The following is a 21,131-nucleotide window of genomic DNA, read 5'->3' as shown; positions in this document are numbered from 1 at the left end:
ATTGCTTTTTAAGCCTTTGTGGCATATTCGTTTTCCTAATATTTTAAATAAATAGTGAAATGTCATGGAAACCAGTGCTCATTTCTTTCTTATTCTCAGTGTGTGTCTGTTTTGGTTGTTTTTCTTCAATGATTATTTCAGTTGGTGTTTAGGAGTGTGAAATATATATTACTTTTTGGTGCTTTTAATGTACATTTGGCCTAGGCTGTTATAATGAGCAGACTGACACAGATATCAAGAAAATTTCCAAGGAGGATTTAGCAAGATTATAGGGAAAGAACAGTTATTTCATTTATTCATTTGCTCCTTTATACATTTTTCCAGTGAGCTTTGTTGTGGTCCTACTGTGTGCCAAGCACTAAATCACAGACCAGATATACTTTGGTCACTGCCATAAAAAAACTGGGTGGATATTTGGCTGAGAGGGACAGAGATTAAATGAGTAAAGATGCAAATGAGTATATAATTATAAAAGGTACTGTGTATCAGTAGTGACATTCGTTAATATCACCAGTGATCTCATTATAAAAGTCTTTAAGTATTGGGAAGTTGCCAGCCTTCTGTAGCAGATGTAAGTTTTCCAAAATCTGGTTTCCTCTGGGAAGTTCTATTTAATAAATACTGTAAATTGTTTTTCTTGAGGTGACAGGCTCACTTCATTCATTGTCAAGATGTCTGCCCAACATGCACATAAAACATGCATAGCCAGTTCAACACCAGCAATTGCACACATGCTTTTCCTTGTGAAACCCCATTGCACTTTGTCATACAGCAGAAGTACTGCCTGCATATGCCCTTTTGGGTCACTCTATACTGTTTCACCAGGGCATTCTTCAGGGCAACTGGCATTTTAAGAATGTTTTATTTTTATTTTCGTACTGTAAGTGCGTGGTGGGGAAGGATACGATGACCGCTAATAGAATTGGGTACCACTGCCTGGATTCCTGCTAAGGCGCCAGTCATTTTACCTGCCACTGCCTTGGCACATCAGTGAAAATGCCAATACAGCAGGAAGACAAATAATGTCTGAGTATTATTCTAAAAATAGTTTGGCCTTATGGGCCTCTGAGGGGAGCACAGCTCACGCTTTGAAGAATGATGCTGTAGTCTTTTCTTCAACAAGCCTTTACGGAAAGTTTCCTGTGTACCAGTTCCTGGGAAAGATGCTCTCCTTCACAATCTTGATGTGTACTCAGATCTTTGTTATCTAATAGTAGCCAAAGTTAACAGCTAGCATTTAATGCATTCTTACTATGTGCCAAGAATCATGTGCCAAGGCCCTGTAGTATTGGGATCCCAGCAGGAGACTGGGTACCTGAAGAGTGTTTAATAAAGAGACTTTTTACAAAGGCGTGGGCAGGATTAAGGCAAACCAACAAGAAATAATAAAAGATCAGGGTTAACAACCTCTAGACCATAAAGGGGTAAGGGAGGCAGACGGTTCCCGGAGCTGGAGAGGACAGCCTCCTAGGAGCTGTGGCCTTCAGGAGAGGGATGCAGCCAATTGCTGAGGTGAACTGTGGAAATTCTTTAAAAAGATGACATTCAAGCTGAAATGATTTCTTTTGAGATTGTATTTATGCTTGGTGTGGCTGTGACTCCTTGGTGAGGAACTAGGGGATTGAATACCCTGGCCTCTCCCTCCTCCTACCTTCTAATCCGTTCTGGTGTCTCCCACTGATGAAACTCAACCAGAAGCCACAGGCCAAGGGAGTCTACGGCGACAATTAATCTGGGTCCCACGGCCAGGCGAAAAGGGAGACAGACAGGATCTGGAGGGACAAATGCAGGCTACTTATTTGGCACAAAACTTTATTTGCACCATTTCATTTAGTATCTAACCCAAGGAAGCAAGTTAACTAACTTAAGGAAGCAAGTGCTAGTGCAATCCCCATCTTGCAGATGAACAAACTGAGGCTGGAGAGGTAAAGCAATAATGACAGGGTCCAGGTTTGAAGGAGACTCAGACTCTTAGCTTCTATTCCTCCCTGTCTGGCAAACAGGCCAGCAAGAAGCAGGCAGCAGGGGTTCCTTCAGTGTGCTGCTTCCACAGAATAGTTGAACAAGTAAAGTTATATGCTGGGAACTTGTTGTTCCTTATTTACAAGACTGCACACGGCCTTCCTGTTCCTCCCAATTACTATTCTTCTGGCCAAAGACTCCCTGGATAGGGAAGGAACTCAGCCCCAAATCCGCAAACATGTTCAGAAAGCAGCCAGGGAATCACTGTTGGATCCCACAAGGAGCCCTCTCACCATCTGCCCTCTACCCCAGCTGACCCAGAGACTCCCTGCCAGAACACTGAGTGTATTTTGATGAGTTAAATGAAAACAACAACCATAACCAAAACAAATCCAAACTGCATGGGTCTTGGGGGAAAGAAAAAAAAAATCAGAAAAATTGGACACTTCATAATTCCTTCCTTTGCACATTCTTTTTCTTTTTAAATGAGTACATTTGATGTAGAATGCAGAGTTCCTAGAGGGTGTTCTAAAAACTTAAAAACTTAGAGTTCTATAGTGGACCCGACCCTTTGTTAAAGCCTTCTTAATGCCATAGGAAGGTTTCCATGATTTAGAGTTTTTATGATATTGATACATGCCAAAAACAATTTAATCACATCACAAATATGACTGAGTATGTCTACTCTTTCCTAAGGTGAAATGCCACTTCTCTGATTATTGGCCTGCTGTTTGTATGGACCTGTTCTATGCATACTTTGTAATGGTTCACATCCTATAATTACAGCACCAACATTTCCTTCAGGGCAATATAAAAAACACACTCCAAGTTAAAAATCATTCCCATCTCTATCCATTCTCTTTGGAGGGAACATAAAAGAACAAGTTTTTTGTTTTGAGTTTTGTTTGAGCCTCACCCTGTTGCCTGCGCTGGAGTGCGGTGGCACGATCATAGCTCACTGAAGCCTCAAACTCCTGGGCTTAAGTAATTCTCTCGCCTTAGCCTCCTGAGTAGCAAGGACTACAAGTGTGCACCACCACACCCAGCTGGAACATCCAATTTTGATACCAATATATGAGCGAACCCACCTACGACCTCCACTAAACAGTATGAGGCAGGCCAATGAAGTCCCCACTCTCAGGGAGAGCTCACTGCCACACAGAATGACCAGGGAGGGCTATGCTGGGAAAAGTCTATGGAGCTTTGGAGACCCAGAGAAGTGGGGTCACAGGGAATCTGAGAAGGCTTCCTAGAGGAAGTAACATCTAAGCTGAGGCCTGAAAAGTCAGGTAAGAGTGAGATGGGAAAATAAGAAGGTACAGGGGTGTTCTAGGCAGAGCAAACAACAGGTGCTTTGGAAGCCTTAGAAAGAACAGCAAGCATGGCCCGTTCAGGGAAAGATGGAGAACAAAGCTCAAGTGTATTGATGGTGAGAGAAGAGGCTCAGGAGATGGGTGTAGCTGGGTCATGGAAAGACCTTAGCCATATTAAGGAATCAGAACTTTCTCCTGAGACCAGTGGGAGGCATACAGACATTTTAAGTGAAGAAGCAACGTGGGTAAATTAAAAAAATATATCACTTTGCTGCCGGGCGCAGTGGCTCACGCCTGTAATCCCAGCACTTTGGGAGGCTGAGGCGGGTGGATCACGAGGTCAGGAGATTGAGACCATCCTGGCTAACACGGTGAAACCCCGTCTCTACTAAAAATTCAAAAAATTAGCCGGGTGTGATGGTGGGTGCCTGTAGTTCCAGCTACTCGGGAGGCTAAGGCAGGAGAATGGCGTGAACCCGGGAAGCGGAGCTTGCAGTGAGCCGCGATGGCGCCACTGCACTCCAGCCTGGGCGACAGAGCGAGACTCCGTCTCAAAAAAAAAAAAAAAAAAAAAAAAATTAGTTTGCAACAGGATACAGAAAAATCAAGAGGGATTTTTCAACCTCTTCTTTATAACTTTCTTTTTTTTTTTCATGACTTTAAGAAAGTAATATGTATCACTGTTGTGATAAAAATAAAAACCAGTAAAGCTATTTTTGTTCTTTATATTTTAAAAACCCATTCTGACAAAAGACTTGAATAGACATCTACTGAAGAAGATATACAGATGGCAAGTAAGCATGTGAAACATCGTACATCATTAGGGAAATGCAACTTAAAACAACGAGATGCCACTATACACCTATTAGAATGGCCAAAATCTGGAACATGGACAACACCAAATGCTGGTGAGGATGTGAAGCAACAGAACTCTCACTCATTGCTGGTGGAAATGCAAAATGGTGCAGCTACTTTGGAAGACAGTTTGGCAGTTTCTTACAAAACCAGACGTACTCTTAACATACGATTCAATAATCACACTCCCTGGTGTTTACCCAAAGGAGTTGAAAACTTACATCCACACAAAACCTGCCCCCAGATGTTTATAGCAATTTTATTCATAATTACTCCAATTTGGAAGCAACCAAGATGTCCAGGTGAATGAATAAATAAACTATGATACATGCAGACAATGGAATATTATTCAACCCTAAAACAAAATGAGCTATCAAGCCACGGAAAGACATGGAGTTAAACTTAAATGCATATTACTAAAGAAAAGAAACCAATCTGAAAATTCAATTACATGTTCTGTGATTCTAACTGTATGACATTCTGGGAAAGGCAAAACTATAGAGACAGTATAAAGATCAGTGGTTGCCAGGGGTTAGGCAGATGAGCAGGCAGAGCAAAGCAGATTTTTAGGGCAGTGAAACTGTTCCGTGTGATATTGCAATGGTAGTGCTAGGGTTTGTGTGTGGTTTGTTCGGCCCCATCAAGTCTCATGTTGAAATTTGATCCCCAGTGTTGGAGGTGTGGCCTTATGGGAGGTGTTTGGGTCATGGAGGTGGATCCCTCATGAATAGCGGTAATGAGGGAGTTTTCACTCTTAGTTCCCATGAGAACGGATTTCTGCAAAGAGCCTGGCACCTTCTCTCTTTCTTGCCTCCTGTCTCACCATGTGATCTGTGTATATCAGCTCCCCTTCACCTTCTGCCATGAGTGGAAACTTCCTGAGGCCCTCATCAGAAGGAGATGTTGGTGCCATGCTTTTATTTTTATTTGTGTTTATTTATCTTTTTTGAGACAAAGGCTCGTACTGTCTCCGAGGGCTGGAGTGCCATGGTGCGATCTCAGCTCACTGCAACCTCTACCTCCTGGGCTCAAGAGATCCTCTCACCTCAGCTTCCTGAGTAGCTGGGACTACAGGCATGCACCACCACATCTAGCTATTTTTTTTTTTGTATTTTTGGTAGAGACAGAGTTTCACCACGTCGCCCAGGCTGGTCTCGAACTCCAGAGCTTGAGTGATCTGCCCACCTCAGCCTCCCAAATTGCTGGGATTACAGATGTGAGCCATGATGCCCGACTGCCATGCATTTGTGTAATACCAAGAGTGAGCCCTAATATCAACTATGGACTGGTGATGGTGCTGTGTCAATGCAGGTGCATCAACTGTAAAAAATATCCCATGCTGGTGGGGGATGTTGGTAGTGGGGGAGGCTGTGCCTGTGTGAAGACAGGGGATATATGGGAATGCTATATTTCTGCTCAATTTTGCTGTGAACCTAAAACTGCTGTAAACAATAATGCCTATTAAGAAAACAAAATAAAACAATAAAAAAAACCCCACAAGAAGAAGAAGGTAGGACAAGGGGTAGTAAGAGCCTGCAGAGGTTGTGGCAGGGGTCTAGCCCCAGGGCTGGGGCCTAAGCTGGGCAGAGGCAGTCGGGCTGGGTAGAAGGGATTCAGGAGCATTCACAGGAGTTAGGCTGCTTAGATGGTGGGAGGGCAAGGAAGAGGAGTGCGCTGAAGCTTCTTGCTTAACTAGCAATGTGGTGCCATGAAGAGAGATATGATGAACCACCTTCAGTATGATAGGCAGTACCTGTAGGCCAGAGATTGCACTAGAAGATGGAGAGGGAAGGAGGAGAGCTTATAACTGACTAAGACAAGAGAAATCACATTTTATTCTTTTATTTAAGAGAGGTCCTGTTGTTTTATCATTTTTCTGTTTTATGCATCACTTATAGGACATAATGCCATGAGTAACCCATATACAGAAAATTCACAGCCTGAACTGGCTTCGGGGAAGACCAAGGCGCATTTGGAGGAGAAGGCCAGCCCTAAAGGCTGGAAGTGACATTCCTGTTGATAAAGGGCAGAGCACGAGCCAACTGAGAGAGGAGATGCAAAGACAAAAATTTCATGCAAAGGATGGGTGTGTTCAGAGGCTGATGAGCTGCAGGTTGCAGAGAGGCCCTATCATGGCCCTCTGTTATTTGTGCTGTCTGCTCCCTTCTCTGGTGGTAGCACACCTGCCACTCCTCATCATCCTGGTATGGACGCGGTTTTTCTCTGCCCTGACCCCAGTCCGTTCTCCACCCTGCTGTGCCCCACTCTGTGCTCAAGGAGACTGACTCCTGCAGACTGAATCCCTTGGTTCCCTGGCCAGCTGGCTTCTGATTGGGCCCTGCAGGATATTGAGGGGAAGAGGAGGGAGAGGATGGGCTGTTTGTTCCCTGTTCCCTCCTTGCCTTGCAAAGGTTGTGCTGTGCCCCCAAGACCACAGCAGCCCCACCCACCTGGCCCCAGGCCTAATGGCTCCTCTAAGGGTTCTCCACCCTTGGCCCTGCAAACTTAGACATGGTCATGACTTCCCTCTATTGCTAGTCCCTGGGTGCTAGAATATTCTTTGATAGTTCCCTTAACCCTACTCACATGGCTATGAATGTTCCCTTCATTAAAGTCTCTTCAGGCAACCATTTCAGGGAGAAATTGCGTTTTTGAGAAGCATAGAGATTAACAAAGGCTGTCAATGACCATTGTAGACCAAGGTGGGAGGGCAGGGCCACTCCCTGCTGTTGGGAGGAGTGGGGGAAGGAGGGGAATCCTACCCAAAGCTGCACTCATCTGCTGGCTTGCAAGTACATTATCCAGAGCCACAGACAAAACCCGTGGGTAGAGGCAGATGCTGACTCCTTGCAGGTAGACAGCACTGGTGAAGGCTTCGAGGAGGAAGGTGGCCCTGGTGGGCCACCTTTGACCCCTTTTGGGTCACTCTGTCAGAGTGGAGCAGGGATGGGGGAGGGAGGAGGCATGGGGTGGGAGGAATGCAACACGCAGGGGTGGGACAGAGAGAGGGGTGAGGAGTCTGCGGCAGCCTTGGTGGACAATGGTGAAGACCTGACCTAGGGAAGTGGCAGAGACGAGGGAGGGCATCTGAGAACTATTCCGGAGATAGCCTCAACGTCCCGATGCTCAGTCTTATGTTGAGTTTGAGGGTGAGTGAGGCAATGACAGTTGGTGTTCTGGAGCGGGTTCCTGAGTAGATGGAGATGCTGGCCACAGTAAGGGGCAGGACTGGTCAGGGCAAGGAGCTGCTTTCTGTTGTGGACAGATTAATGTATGGGGCTGGCCACCTTTCATATGAACAGAATCATACACCGTGTGGTCCTTTGTGACATAAGTGTCCTAAGTGGCTTCTGTCACTTAGCATAATGTTCTCAAGGTTCATCCATGTTGTAGCAGGGATCACTGCTTCATTCATTTTAATTGCCAAATAATATTCCATTATATGGAAGTAGCATATTTTATTTATCCACTCATTTATTGGTGGACATTTGGGTTGCTTCTGGTTTTTGGCTGTGACAAATGATGTTGGTGTGAACATCTGTATACAAGTTTTTGTGTGGACATCCATTTTTGTTTCTCTTGGGTATATACCTACAAGTACAGTTGCTAGCCAGGAGTACGAATGGTAATTCTAGGTTTAATATTGTAAGGAACTGCCAGACTATTTTTACAAAATGCTTCTCTATTTCTAGTAACATTTTTATATTTTAAAGTCTTTTTGTTTGATATTAGCATAGCAACCCTAGCTTTCTTCTGCTTATCCCTTGTCTTTTAAAAAAGATGATTTTATCAGAAATGCATATAGCCATAAGTAATATATTACATGATTTAGTTACACATATTTGAACTTTATAAAAATAGTGTCACACTATAAATGTAGTTACTTGGACTTTTCACTCAGTATGCTATTTCTAAGACCCATCTATGTTGTTGTATATAGCTACAGTATAATTTATGTTCTCTGCTGTATAATAGTCCATGGCATAACCCTAACATAATTTATTGATTCATTCTCCTGTAAGTGGCTATTTGGCATGTTTCCAGTGTTTTGCTATGACAAATTTATTGCTGCTATAAACATTTTTATATGCCTTTCCTGATATAAGAGTTTCTTTTGTTCTCAGAGCAACTAGCAATATAACTATTAGCTAGGAACTTGTTAGAAATGCAACTTCTCAAGTCCCACCCAAGACCCACTGAGTCAGAAACTGTAAGATAGGCCCAGCAATCTGTGTTGTAATATCAGATATCAGGTGACTCTGATATCTGATAAAGTTTGACGTCCACTGCGCTAGGGTATAAAGTAGGAGTGAAATTTCTAGATTGCAGGCAATCAGATGTTTTCTGAAGTTGTTGTCCCATGTTTTCATGGAAATCCACCCGCTCAGCACTTAGTATTGTCAGACTTCTTTATTTTGCCCACTGGGTGGGTCAGTCTGACTGGTCTTCCCTACAGAGAGGCATGGGTGTGGCCGTTGATTTCTTCTCCCTGCCTGTCCTCCCATCCTGCCCTGTCTAGGGAGCCAGAGCCACACCACGCATATTGATCCCTTGGCTGTCACTGTGGGTGAAGCCTTCTTCAGTGTGGTTTGTTTTGACAGGAATACATGCACCACCTGCTCGCCCTGGAGCATCGCGCTGAGGAGCAGTTCCTGGAGCACTGGCTGAACCCTCACTGCAAACCCCACTGTGACAGGAACAGGATTCATCCTGTGTAAGGGGATCAGGACCAGCCTCGGTACGTCTCCTTCTCTCTCCCGGACCTCTGTCTGAGGGAGTGGTGGGGGACAGCATGGCATGGGCTGGGAGACTTTCCAGACCATGCCTCAGGGGGGCCAGCTGGTTAGCTGGTTATGGGTTTGGAATGGGGGTGGCAAGAGTGAGGCAGGAGACATAGTGGGGAGCCAGGTTGAGAGGAGCACTGGGGGACAAATGGGGGAGCCCAACTTTTATTGAATCACAAAGTGATCCCGAATGGGGAGGGACGTGACCCTATTTGCCATGCAGAAAAGCTCTCTCTGGACCCCAAATGTGGAGAAGTGTGTTTTGTTGAGACTTGGGTCTCTTCAGGTGGGCTCAGCATTCGTGGAGTCAACCTGTGACATCTACCATGATCATCACCACTGTCATCAGGATCAACAACTTCTTTCCCAGATCTCGCTCCTGTTCCCTACTGCCTTCCTGCAGCCTTCAAGGCTGCCAATCTGCCCAGCCCACCCTCTGTCTTTCCCTTTCCCTGGGGCTTCTGTTTTCAGCCCACCAGCAGGGTACTGCCCAGCTTTCCCCCCACACCCTGCATGCCCCCAACTCTGTACCTCTGTGCCTAGATGAGGCTGTTTGCTTCTCCCTGTCTGTCCTCATCATCTTCCCCCCTTTCCAAATCCTGTTAGATAAGGTAGCAAAATTCCTTCAGAGGGTAAGCCCAGTGAATTTCATTTCTCCTCTGTAAGTTTTGTGGACCAAGCAGGACAAGATATAATCAGGTAGTTTATCTTTGTGGTTAAGAGAAATCTTATACCTTTGTTGTTTATTTTGTGCTACTGTGAATTGACACAGGGACGCTCCTATTAATCACTCTTTATAATGTAACATAAATTGCCTCACATGATCCTCTTAATACCCTGGTGTCATTGCAGGGCATGCACTTTAACCCCATTTTAAAGAGGAACTAATTGAGCATGATTAAGCTACTAACTCAGGCTAAGCAGTGGTTGGTATGCTAGGCTTCTGACCACCGTAAATCTGCATGCTTTATGTGGACCGTGTTGCACAGTCCTGTGTGTGTGTGGGCATGAAATCACTCTGAGGGAGCTTTCACAGATAATGAGAGGATCACCTGCTGGCAGTGGAATAGAAGTTCTGCTTTTGAGGGGTAGGGATGGGCTACATCCCTCTTCTAATTCTTCCAGCTGCTGGAGCTCTATTCTAGGTCAGGGTTCTGGTGTGTCTGGGCTTGGCTCCCAACTCCCAGGGTGCTGGCCTCCCCTGCACCAAGGGCCTTTGTCTTTTAGCACTGGAAGCCCTCACTTGGCTTCTTCCAGAAAACAGCACTGTGGAGTAATTGGATGCTTAGGCTCTGGAACTGGCCAGAGCTGAGTTTGACTTTCTGATTTCCAGCTCTGTGCCCTTGGGCAAGTTGCCTAACCTCACTGACTCTTTGCTTCTGCCTCTGTAAGTTGGGGTAATAATGATGTCTAGGGAGCCTGGTGCATAGTAAGTGACTCTAAATATAAAAGCACTTATTACTGTTGTGCAGTTGAAGTTAAAGGAGAGGTTTCTGGGTTCAGCCCCACAGTAGTACCCTCCAAGGGTGACTGAGGCCTCTGATTCTTGGTAGGACAGGCACTGCTGGTGAGCTTGGGTGCCTAGCTCCTGCAAACACAGGGTTCCTCAGAGGCCTCACTCCAGGCAGCTCCCACTTACATAAAGACAAGGAAGCGGTGGCTGGAGAAATGTGTTAACTTGGAATTGGGAGTCAGACAGCCTTCAGATAATGAGTCCTCCAGTCACTGGCTGAATAACCTTAGAAAAAAATGCCTAATTGAATAATTTCCTCATTTGTAAAATGAGGATAGTAATGGCTCCTTCCTTATGATTCTAGGATTAAAAAAGTCAATGCCTGGAAAATAGTTAGTGTTGCCCTGGCACACAAAGGAAGTGCTCAGAAAATGATAGCTGGATGGTGTTTGTTCTTCCTTGGTCTACTCGTCCTCTTCCTTAGTCTCCTCCTTTTCCCCTCTCCTCCTCCTCCTTCTTGTTCTTCATCATCATCATCACAATCACCACCACCAACATCATCACCATCACTATCACCATCACCATCACCACCATCGCCACCATCATCACCATTACCCACACCATCATCACCACCACCATCACCCCCACCACCATCACCACCACCACCACCACCACCACCATCACCACCACCACCACCACCACCACCACCACCACCACCACCACCACCACCACCACCACCACCACCACCACCACCACCACCACCACCACCACCACCACCACCACCACCACCACCACCACCACCACCACCACCACCTCACCATCACCACCATCATCATCGTCACCATTGCCACCATCATCACCATCAACCCCATCATCACCATCACCACCATCAGCACCATCACCACCACCACCACATCACCATTATCACCACCACCACCATAACCATCATCACTATTACCATCACCACAATCACCATCATCACCATCACTGCCACACCATCATCACCACCACCACCACCACCACCACCACTATCATCATTATCATCACCACCACCACCATCATAACCATCATCACTATTACCACCACCACAATCACCATCATCACCATCACTGCCACACCATCATCACCACCACCACCACTACCATCACAATCATTATCATTATCCTAATGTTATTTTCTTGTTCTTTTTCAGCAAGCATTTTAATAGACAACAAGCTGGATAATGTCGAAGCAAGACAAGGCTGCTTCTTTCACTTGTTTTTAAATTGCAGAAATGGATGTCTTCAGACCTCGTGAACTGTGGGCATATCAAAGATTGCCTTGGAAATGGCAAATATATATACTGCTTCATTTTACTAACCTGCATAGATCACTAAAACCAATAGCTTAAAGCATAGACACCTCCCAAAGGTCTTCCCATCAGTTTGCAAGAGTGGGAACAACCAGAATCTTACCTGGGGTTGATGGAGCTGGAACTCCCAGACCAGGAGTTGGGGCAGGCTGCCTGCCCTAAGGAATTTGGGGAATCCTTGTTCAGAGTAGTGAAGCATACCACTTGGGGTTGCTGAGTTGTTTTGTCCTCTATTTTTTTCCTCTTCTTTTCTGCCCTAATAAACATTGGTATTAAATTTACTTTTAGTGGTCTCTTCCTTTCTCTCTCTCTCTCCCCCCCACTTTTTTTTTTTTGAGATGGAGTCTCACTCTGTCACTCAGTCTGGAGTACAGTGGCATGATCTTGGCTCACTGCAACCTCCGCCTCCCAGGTTCAAGTGATTTTCCTGCCTCAGCCTCCAGAGTAGCTGGGACTACAGGTGCACACCACCATGCTCAGCTAACTTTTGTATTTTTAGTAGAGACGGGGTTTCACCATGTTGACCAGGCTGGTCTCAACCTCCTGACCTCAGGTGATCCACCCGCCTTGGCCTCCCAAAGTGCTGGGATTACAGGTGTGAGCCACTGCGCCTGGCCTCTTTCTTTCTCTGTAAGTAGTGAAACAGAGATTTCCCTCTTTTGTTTATCTTTGCAAATCCAGCATCAGAAAGCTTACTGTTCTTTGAATGAATGAAAATACAAACACCCTGCAATTTTGCACAAGGGTTATGTATATATTTATATACGTACATGTATATATATGAGATTATTTGCCTAAGGCCAGTTCTGGAACTAGGGCCATTGCTTAATACCAGTTTTACACCCTGGTCTTTTAGCAAAGGCAACATTTCTTGTGAAAAGTGGGTTGTAGTTCCTGTATCCCGGAGGCCCTCACCTGCCCCACAACCTTGGAATCAGATTGGACAATTAGAGGCCAAGAAAAGCAGAAATTTGGAGGGCAAGGGAAGGTGGGCCAAATGGTTCTGGGGAAAGAAGAATCTGGCATCCTCAAAAAAAGGTAAGGAGGGATGCCCACACACCCTGGGCTACAGAGGAGGGCTTGTCCCAAGGGAGGTTGGGTGGTGTATTAGTTCATTATTGCATTCCTATAAAGAAATATCTAAGACTGGGTAATTTATACAGAAAAGAGGTTTAATTGGCTCACAGTTCTGCAGGCTGTACAGGAAGCATGATGATGGCACCTGCTTGGCTTCTGGGGAGGCCTCAGGAAACTTACAATTATGGTGAAAGGTGAAGTGGGAGCAGTCACATGGCCAGAGCAAGAGCAAGAGAAGAAGCAGGAAGATGCCACACACTTTTAAACAACCAGATCTTGTGAGAACCCACTCACTATTGTGAGAACAGTACCAAGGGGATGGTACTACACCATTAATGAGAAACTGCCCCCATGATCTAATTAGCTCCCACCAGGCCCCACTTCCAACATTGGGGATTAAATTTCAACATGCAATTTGGGTAGGGACATAGATCCAAACTATATTAGGTGTGTTCATCTAGGGATAAAGGCACTGAATCTCTCAATAACAATACCAACATTTTGGGTCAAACTCCGTACAGATGGTCCCTGAGTTCTAGTGGTGTGAAAGTGATATGCCCTCAGCCAAAACCATACTTCAAGAACCCATACAACCGTTCTGGTTCTCACTTTTAGTACAGCATTCAATAAATTACATGAGCTCTTCAACACTTATTATAAAATAGGCTTTGTGTTAGATGATCTTGCCCAACTGTAGGCTAATGTAAGGGTTCTGAGCACATTTACAGGCTAAGCTGTGATGTTTGGTAGGTTAGGTGTATTAAATGCACCTTCAATTTCCAGTGGGTTTATTAGGATGTAACTGCTTTGTAAGTCTAGGAGCATCTGTACTATCCCCAACTTATAAATGAGGAAACTGAAGTTTACAGAATTTAGGCAGTGTATTAGTTTTCTATTTTGACTGTAATTACTTAGTGGGTTAAAACAACACATTAATTATCTTATGTTCTGTATGTTAGAAGTTCAAAAGGAGTCTCCTGGGTTAAATCAATGTGTCAGCAGGGCTGCATTCTTCTCCTCTCTGGAGGCTCTTGGGGTGAATCTATTTCCTTGTCTTTTCCAGCTACCCGCCTTTCTTAGCTCATGACTCCTTCCATCTCAAAGCCACCAATGGTGAGTTGAGCCTCACATCATATCACTCTGCCTTTCTCTTCTGCCTCCATCTTCCACTTTTAAGGGCCTTTATGATTACACTGGGCCCTTTAGATAACTCAGAATAATTTCTCTATCTTAAGGTCAGTTGATTAACAACTTTAATTCCACCCACAATGCTAATTCCCCCTTGCCATATAAGGTAACATTTTCGCAAGTTCCAGGGATTAGGACCTGGACATCTTTGGGGAAGCCATCATTCTGCCTACCCTAGGCAGTTTGTTCAGGTTCATACAGCTGGTGGGTAGAGGACCTGGGATTTGAACCTGGGAAGCCCCTCACTACTATGCCCGCCCTCCCCCCATCCACAAACACTCTGCACTTCTGCCCTAAACCTGATATTCTTATGCCTTGAATGAAGTAGTTTTCTAAACCGAGTTCCTTAAGGGATGAGGATGTGTCTTATTAAGACTCAACTGTACTCCTTACCTAGCTGGGATGTCATCTGAGCACAGGCACCTTCCATGGGCTCTGATATTTAGTGCTAGGAGTTGCCCAGGGTACATGGAACAAGGGTGGACAGAAGGCTCCCTTGTCCACCTCCCCACCTGCCTCTCAGAGTGGTTTACAAGAAGTAGGAGCTGAATCTGTGCATGTGGGACAGACTGCACAGGAACGAGACTAGCACGTCCCAAAAGAGAGAAGGAGGGAAGCAGAATTAAAAATAAATCAGACCCACAGGGAGCCAGGTTCCTGCATCCAGGTAGAGAAGGAAGGGCTTCCTTGAGGCTCTAAGGACCCTGGGTATGGCTCACATATCAGGGGCAAAAACTTCCTTTAAGAACAGAGAGGATTCTTCATCAGTCACATACAGCCTGGTTCTCAGCCTCCTCCCCTTGACACACAAAATGCATGTGTTTACCCAGAACACACTCTCCTGAGGCCCACAGATGACGGGGCTGAAGCGCAGCAATTCACAGTGAGCTTGCTGCAACTTCACACCCCATTTGCCCACCACCAAAGTTTCTCAGAAGGCAGGTGAGTGACAGGAATCTTCAAAGTGGTGGACAGCAGTAATTCATAATCCAGGCTTGGAGCCAGACTACCTGCATTCAAATTCTGGCTCCACCGACTAGCTGTGTGTCCTTGGGCAAGCTGATTAACCTCTTTGGGCCTGAGTTTCCTTACTGTAGAATGGGAATGATTACAGTTCTTAGTTCAAAATGCCATTGTGATAATTAGTTTATTGGGTAAGCTCTCCATGAAACTAGCTATTACTGTTTTTAAAATTCTTGGGCATTATTCTATTAATCAAGACAAATGGTCTGTCTCTGTCTCTCTCTATATTTTTTAAAAAACTATTATTTTGAGAAGAGGTGGAGAGTGTTTGGGAGACCTAGAGTCAAAAGGCCTCCCTACTTGAGAAAGGGTTGCTTTCTTTACAGTATTGCATCTTCCTATCTATGAACCTGGTCTATCTCTCCATTTACTTAGGCCATTTTTATGTCCATCATTAAAATTTTGTAATTTTCTTTGTAAAGATCATATATATGTTTTTAAAACAGCACTAATCCTAGATATATTATGGATCTTTATGAATTATAACTGGAATTTTCTTAAATTTACATTTTCTAGTTGGTTATTCTGGTATGTGTAGGAATAATATTGATTTTTATACGTTGTTCGTATCCAAAAACATCCCTCCTGGGAAGGTTCTATGGTGGAGCAGAAACAACTTTACCAAGAGTACCTCCAGTGGGGCAGCTCATAGGCTTCCGAGCTACTGGCAGAAGCATTCAGTCTTATTGACTAATACATGTGCTTCCTGAAACAGACAGAGACCATTGGCTCCTATGGTCTGGGTTTGGGGTCAGAAAAAATGGGCAGAAGGATTTCCAGAGGGAATTGCATTTCATATTTCATCTAACCAACACTGAGACCCTTGCAAAAAAGTGTGCTTATTCTTCCTAGAGGTTCAAAGAGAAATAAGATCCCAGTTCAAATGAACTTACTGTCTAGTGGTGGAGACAGATATATAAGCAGGTAGCTGCTCTATAGATCAGGGGTTGGTAAACTTTTTCTGTAAAGGGCCTGATAGCAAGTATTTTTATCTTGTGGGCCATGTCATCTCTGTCATACAACTACTTTGCTATTGTATTTGTAAAGCAGCCAAAGACAGTAAGTAAACAGACGGGCATGGCTACTATAGAGAGGGATAAGTAGGGGACAAGAATGGGGTAAATGGTGGACTGGAAAGAAACCTAGTTTTCGAGTAAGACAGATTCTAATTGCAATTTAACCTTCTGCTGAGTGCTGTGATTGGGTGAATCACTTAATTTCTCCAAGTCTACTGCTCCCCTATCTTTATATGGGATAGTCATATTGGTCTCTATGTTGCTGGGAGTATTAAATGGGACAACTGCTAACATTCTATTGAGCACTTGAAATGTACCAACCACCATGCTAATTCCTTCACTGTATTCATTTAATCTTCGCAATAATCCTGTGAGGTAGGTACAATTATTATCCCCATTTTACAGATGTGGGCTCTTGACGTTTCGTGATGGACCCAAAGTCATTAAGTCACAAAATTAGGAAGTGACTTGACCCAGAAGCCACAGTGTTAGCTCTGTGCTGTGCTTCTTCCTCAGGGCCCATAGAAAGTGTCCATCTCAGAGGCTGGCACACGTGAGCTGGCCAAAAAACATTGCAGTAGTTCCCCCATCTGTGGTTTCTCTTTCTGAGGTTTCAGTTACCCAAGGTCAACCACAGTCTGAAAACATTTAATGGAAAATTCCAGAAATAAACAATTCATCAGTTGTAAATTACGCACCGTCCTGAGTAACGTGATGAAATCTCACGCCATCCTGCTGCTTCCTGCCTGGGGCATGAATCACTCCTCTGTGTGTACTACCTGCCCTCTTAGTCAGTTAGTAGCTGGCTCAATTATCAGATTGACTGTCAGGTGGCATTATGGCAGTGCTTGTGTTCAAGGAACCCTTCTTTTACTTAATAATGCCCCCACATTGCAAGAGTAATGATGCTGGCAATTCAGATATGCCAAAGAGAAACCATAATGTGCTACCTTTAAGTGAAAAGGCGAAGGTTTTCAACTTAGTTTAGAAAAAAAAAACGTGTGCTGAGATTGCCAAGATCTGTGGTAAGAACAAATCTTCTATCTGAGAAATTGTGAAGAAGGAAAAATAAATTTGTGCTAGTTTTGCTGTTGCACCTTGAACTGCAAAAGTTAATGGCTACAGTGAAAAATGCTTCGTTAAGATGGAAAAGTTCTAAAACATGTGGGTGGAAGATGTGAACAGAAATGTGGTCGGCAATTGGGTTCAGTACTATGCTTGGTTTCAGACATCCACTGGGGGGTCCTGGCATTCCCCGTGGATAAGGGAGGTGGCTGTTGTTTGCTGGAGCAGTAGCTGAGAGGCACAGACAATTTCAGTGTACTGCATCTCCATGCCTAGCTCATTGCTCTGCGCATAGGTAGCACTCACTAATATTTATTTGTTGAGAGGTGAGTTCTTTCCATGTCCTGCCCCGCCCCACCCCAGCACCGAATTGCAAACATGGTACGATGATAACTCTTTCCCTGAGGCAGGGGGTTAGGGATGGCTCAAGACAAGGCATTACTGGAAGCTTACTTAGCAGGAGGGGTAAGAAGCCGTCTTCCAGGTGGAAAAGGGGAGGAAGGGCATTTCAGTCCGAAGGAAAAGCTCTTTGCAAAGGTGCACTTTTCTATACCACCTGGACTTTGTTCCAAACCCTTACTCCTCCTTCCTCTGGCAGCTTTCTGTCATGGACAGTGCTCTGATGCCAGATGCTGGCTGGCCTTGATTGCTTTTGGCTTCTGGACCTGGTTTCTTGGTTTGTTTGTTCTTTGCTTATTTATTCCCTATGTGTTAGGCACTGCACTAGGTACTGGAGACGACTCCTGAAACTCCCACTTAAACAGAGGCCAGTACGGAAGAACACATTGTATGCTGAATGTTAGGAAGGAGCAGTCAAGATGACCAGGTATGTGGCCATTGACAGGTACCCCACCCAGAGCTGCTTGTCAGGAAAGGCTCTAGGAAGAGGGGGTACCTTCAGTGATTTGTCAAGGAATTAGCTTGACAAAGGAGATGGAGGTGGGGATACAAGGCAGGGAAGGGTGGGGGTAGAAGGAGTGGCACAGGATGGAGGTGGAGAGAGTTGTTGCAGGCAGAGGCAGCAGCAAGTGCAAAGACCCTGAGGTGGGGAAGGAGCAGGTTTGTCCTAGGAGCTTCCAGAAGGTCACCGTGGCCTTCCCTAAAGAGTGAGGGGACAGTGTCTACAATGAGCCTGGGAGGCAGGCAGGGGCCAGGTTTATGGGCCTCACAGACCTTTGTAAGGAATTTGGATGTTATCCCAATGATACAGGGAAACAGATGGGCGTGGAGGCAGGAAGCCACAGTGAGTTCTCTGATTTCAAATCAGAACATGACTCTACTCCCACGATCCAGCAAGTGTCATACAGCCAAGTTACCCTCCCCCAAAACCTGTAAACTCACCGGAGAGCAAATAAGCTCCTGCTTCAGAGGTTCTTCAATTGATTAAAATCGACAAGTTATTTCTTGTGAGGTTCAGTTTTCAGGTGGTTGAAATCTCTCTTTCTCTTTCTAATTACATGTGGGCCCTGCTTTTCCTCCATCCAGGTCATGTCAATATGTGTCTTGTCTTCTCTTGTGGTTTAATGAGTAGCTACAGCTTCTGTTCTCAAAGTGTGTCCCCCAGACAACCTGTTAGACATGCAAACTCTCAGGCCCAACTCAGATCTTCTGTTACCAGAAAGGAGTCTCGACCCAGACCCCAAGAGTGGGTTCTTGGATCTCATGCAAGAAAGAATTTACAGCAAGTTGCAGAGTGCAGTGTAGTGAAGATAGCTTATTAAAGACTGCTCTATTTCAGAGTAGGCTGTCCTCCAAAAGCAAGAGAAGGAACGCCCCTACCTCAAATACAGTGCTTGCTTGTATAGGATAACAGAGCTGAAAATAATGGCCTTATGTGCTTTACTACAAAGGCTCATGACAAGCTTGTGACAGGCTGTTAGTATTGTTATTCTCTTGTGTAACTATTGATTTTTGCAAAAATTTATGAACCTACTATTATCTCTAAAGCAAAACCTATTCTTAAACTAAGAATGCTTTTTGTTCTTAAGATATTGGGACATCAGGAGATTTCCTTAAGTTCTGAGTCCTGTTCCATTAGTAAGCATCATTAATCTGTTCCCTCAGCCATAAACATCTTGTGACTAGGAGTGCATAGCCTCCTGGGATTGTAACCCAGCAGGTCTGACTTTCTTCAATTCTTATTCAAGATGGAGTTACCCTGGTTCGGATGTCTGTGACACTTCTGAATCAGAAACTCTGGGGCTGAGGCCCAGCCATCTGGATTTTCATAAGCCCTCCTGGTGATTCTGATGCATGCTGGAGTTTGGGAACCACCAGCATAGAGCTTCCTGAAGCTTCATGTGTGGAAAGAACCTCAGGCTGACAAGAAACAACAGATGCTATTGAGGTTGTGGAGAAATAGGAACGCTTTTACACTGTTGGTGGGAGTGTAAATTAGTTCAACCATTGTGGAAGACAGTGTGGCAATTCCTCAAATATCTAGAACCAGAAATACCATTTGACCCAGCAATCCCATTACTGGGTACATACCCCCCAAAATATAAATAATTCTATCATAAAGATACATGGACTCGTATGTTCATTGCAGCGCTATTCGCAATAGCAAAGACGTGGAATCAACCAAAATGCCCATCAATGATAGACTTGATAAAGAAAATGTGCTACATATACACCATGAAATACTATGCAGCCATAAAAAGGAACAAGATCATGTCCTTTGCAGGAACATGGATGGAGCTGGAAGCTATTATCCTTAGCAAACTAATGCAGGAGCAGAAAACCAAACACCACATATTCTCACTTACAAGTGGGAGCTGAACAATGAGAACGCATGGACACAGGGAAGGGAGCAACACACACTGGGGCCTGTCAGGGGGTGGGATGGGGGAGGAAGAGCATTAAGAAAAATAGCTAAAGCATGCTGGGCTTAATACCCAGGTGATGGGTTGATAGGTGCATCAAACCACCATGGCACACGTTTACCTATGTAACAAACCTGTACATCCTGCACATGTACCCCAGAACTTAAAAATAAAAATTAAAAACAAAAGGAACCTGAGACTGAGACCTGGGAGACCTGGGTTCTCTTCCCCTTTACTCATTTCTCTAAAAAATAAAAAATATATTCTGAGACCTACTGTGTACCTTGTACTGCTCTAGGCTCTAGGAGTGCAGTGATGAACCAGACAGACAAGGCTGATTTAAAAAAAAAGGTTGTAAAATTCATATAACATAAAATTAACCATTTTAACCATTTTAAAGTATACGATTCAGTGGTGTTTAGTACATTTGCAATGTTGCACAACCATCACCACCATTTATCCCAGAACTTTTTTTTTGTTTTTTTTTTTTTGTTTTTTGAGACAGAGTCTTGCTCTGTCTCTCAGGCTGAAGTGCAGTGGCATGATCTCAGCTCACTGCAACCTTCGCCTCCTGGGTTTAAGCAATTCTCTGCCTCAGTCTCCTGAGTAGAGTAGCTGGGACTATGGGCGCATGCCACCGTGCCCAGCTAATTTTTGTATTTGTAGTAGAGACGGTGTTTCACCGTGTTGGCCAGGCTGGTCCTGAACTCCTGAGCTCAGGTGATCCACCCGCCTCGGCCTCCCAAAGTGCGGGGATTATAGGCGTGAGTCACTGCGCCTTGCCTATCCCAGAACATTTTGCTACCCCTAAATGAAACCCCTTACTCATTAGGCAGTCACTCCCCATTTCTCCCTCCTTCCAGCCCCTGGCAACCACCAATCTACTTTCTATCCTTATGCATTTGCCTATTTGGGGTATTTCACATAAGTTGAATCATACAATATGTGGCCTTTTGTATCTGACTTCTTTTACTCAGCACATGTTCTTAAGGTCAGCAATGTTGTAGCATGTATCAGCACTTCATTCCTTTCTAGGACTGAATAATATTCCATTGTATGGTTATACCACATTTTATTTATCCACTCTTCAGTTGATAGACATTTGGGTTGCTTCCACCTTTTAGCTATTGTGAGCCATGCTGCTATGAACATTCTTGTACAGGTTTTTGTTTGAGAACCTGTTTGCAATTCCTTAGGGTATATACCTTGGAGTAGAATTGCT

General features: G+C 44.6%; 1 protein-coding gene across 1 annotated transcript in view, besides 2 other annotated features; it reads left to right on the top strand.

Annotated features, from left to right (window-relative positions):
- The window catches only part of C17orf67 (chromosome 17 open reading frame 67), a 42,008-nt gene extending 30,009 nt beyond the window's left edge, over window positions 1-11,999 (top strand). The window contains exons 7-8 of the mRNA NM_001085430.4: window positions 8,732-8,868; window positions 11,560-11,999. Coding sequence (NP_001078899.2) covers window positions 8,732-8,848 — 117 coding nt within the window. The 3' untranslated portion in view covers window positions 8,849-8,868; window positions 11,560-11,999. The remainder of the gene's footprint in view (window positions 1-8,731; window positions 8,869-11,559) is intronic.
- Window positions 16,224-17,423: an enhancer, noted in NCBI's record as "P300/CBP strongly-dependent group 1 enhancer chr17:54863850-54865049 (GRCh37/hg19 assembly coordinates)". NCBI's record gives its function as "activates an origin of replication core promoter dependent on BRD2, BRD4, P300/CBP, MED14 and CDK7 cofactors, with strong dependence on P300/CBP, by STARR-seq in HCT116 cells {active_cell/tissue: HCT116}" and the evidence as "EXISTENCE:reporter gene assay evidence [ECO:0000049][PMID:35650434]".
- Window positions 16,666-16,725: an enhancer, noted in NCBI's record as "active region_12417". NCBI's record gives its function as "activates an Ori minimal core promoter by ATAC-STARR-seq in GM12878 lymphoblastoid cells {active_cell/tissue: GM12878}" and the evidence as "EXISTENCE:reporter gene assay evidence [ECO:0000049][PMID:35858748]".

The sequence above is a fragment of the Homo sapiens genome, chromosome 17, assembly GCF_000001405.40.
Source record: "Homo sapiens chromosome 17, GRCh38.p14 Primary Assembly".
Lineage (NCBI taxonomy): Eukaryota > Metazoa > Chordata > Mammalia > Primates > Hominidae > Homo > Homo sapiens.
Note: the sequence above shows the minus strand (reverse complement) of the source record. Positions and strands in the feature narration are given on the sequence as shown.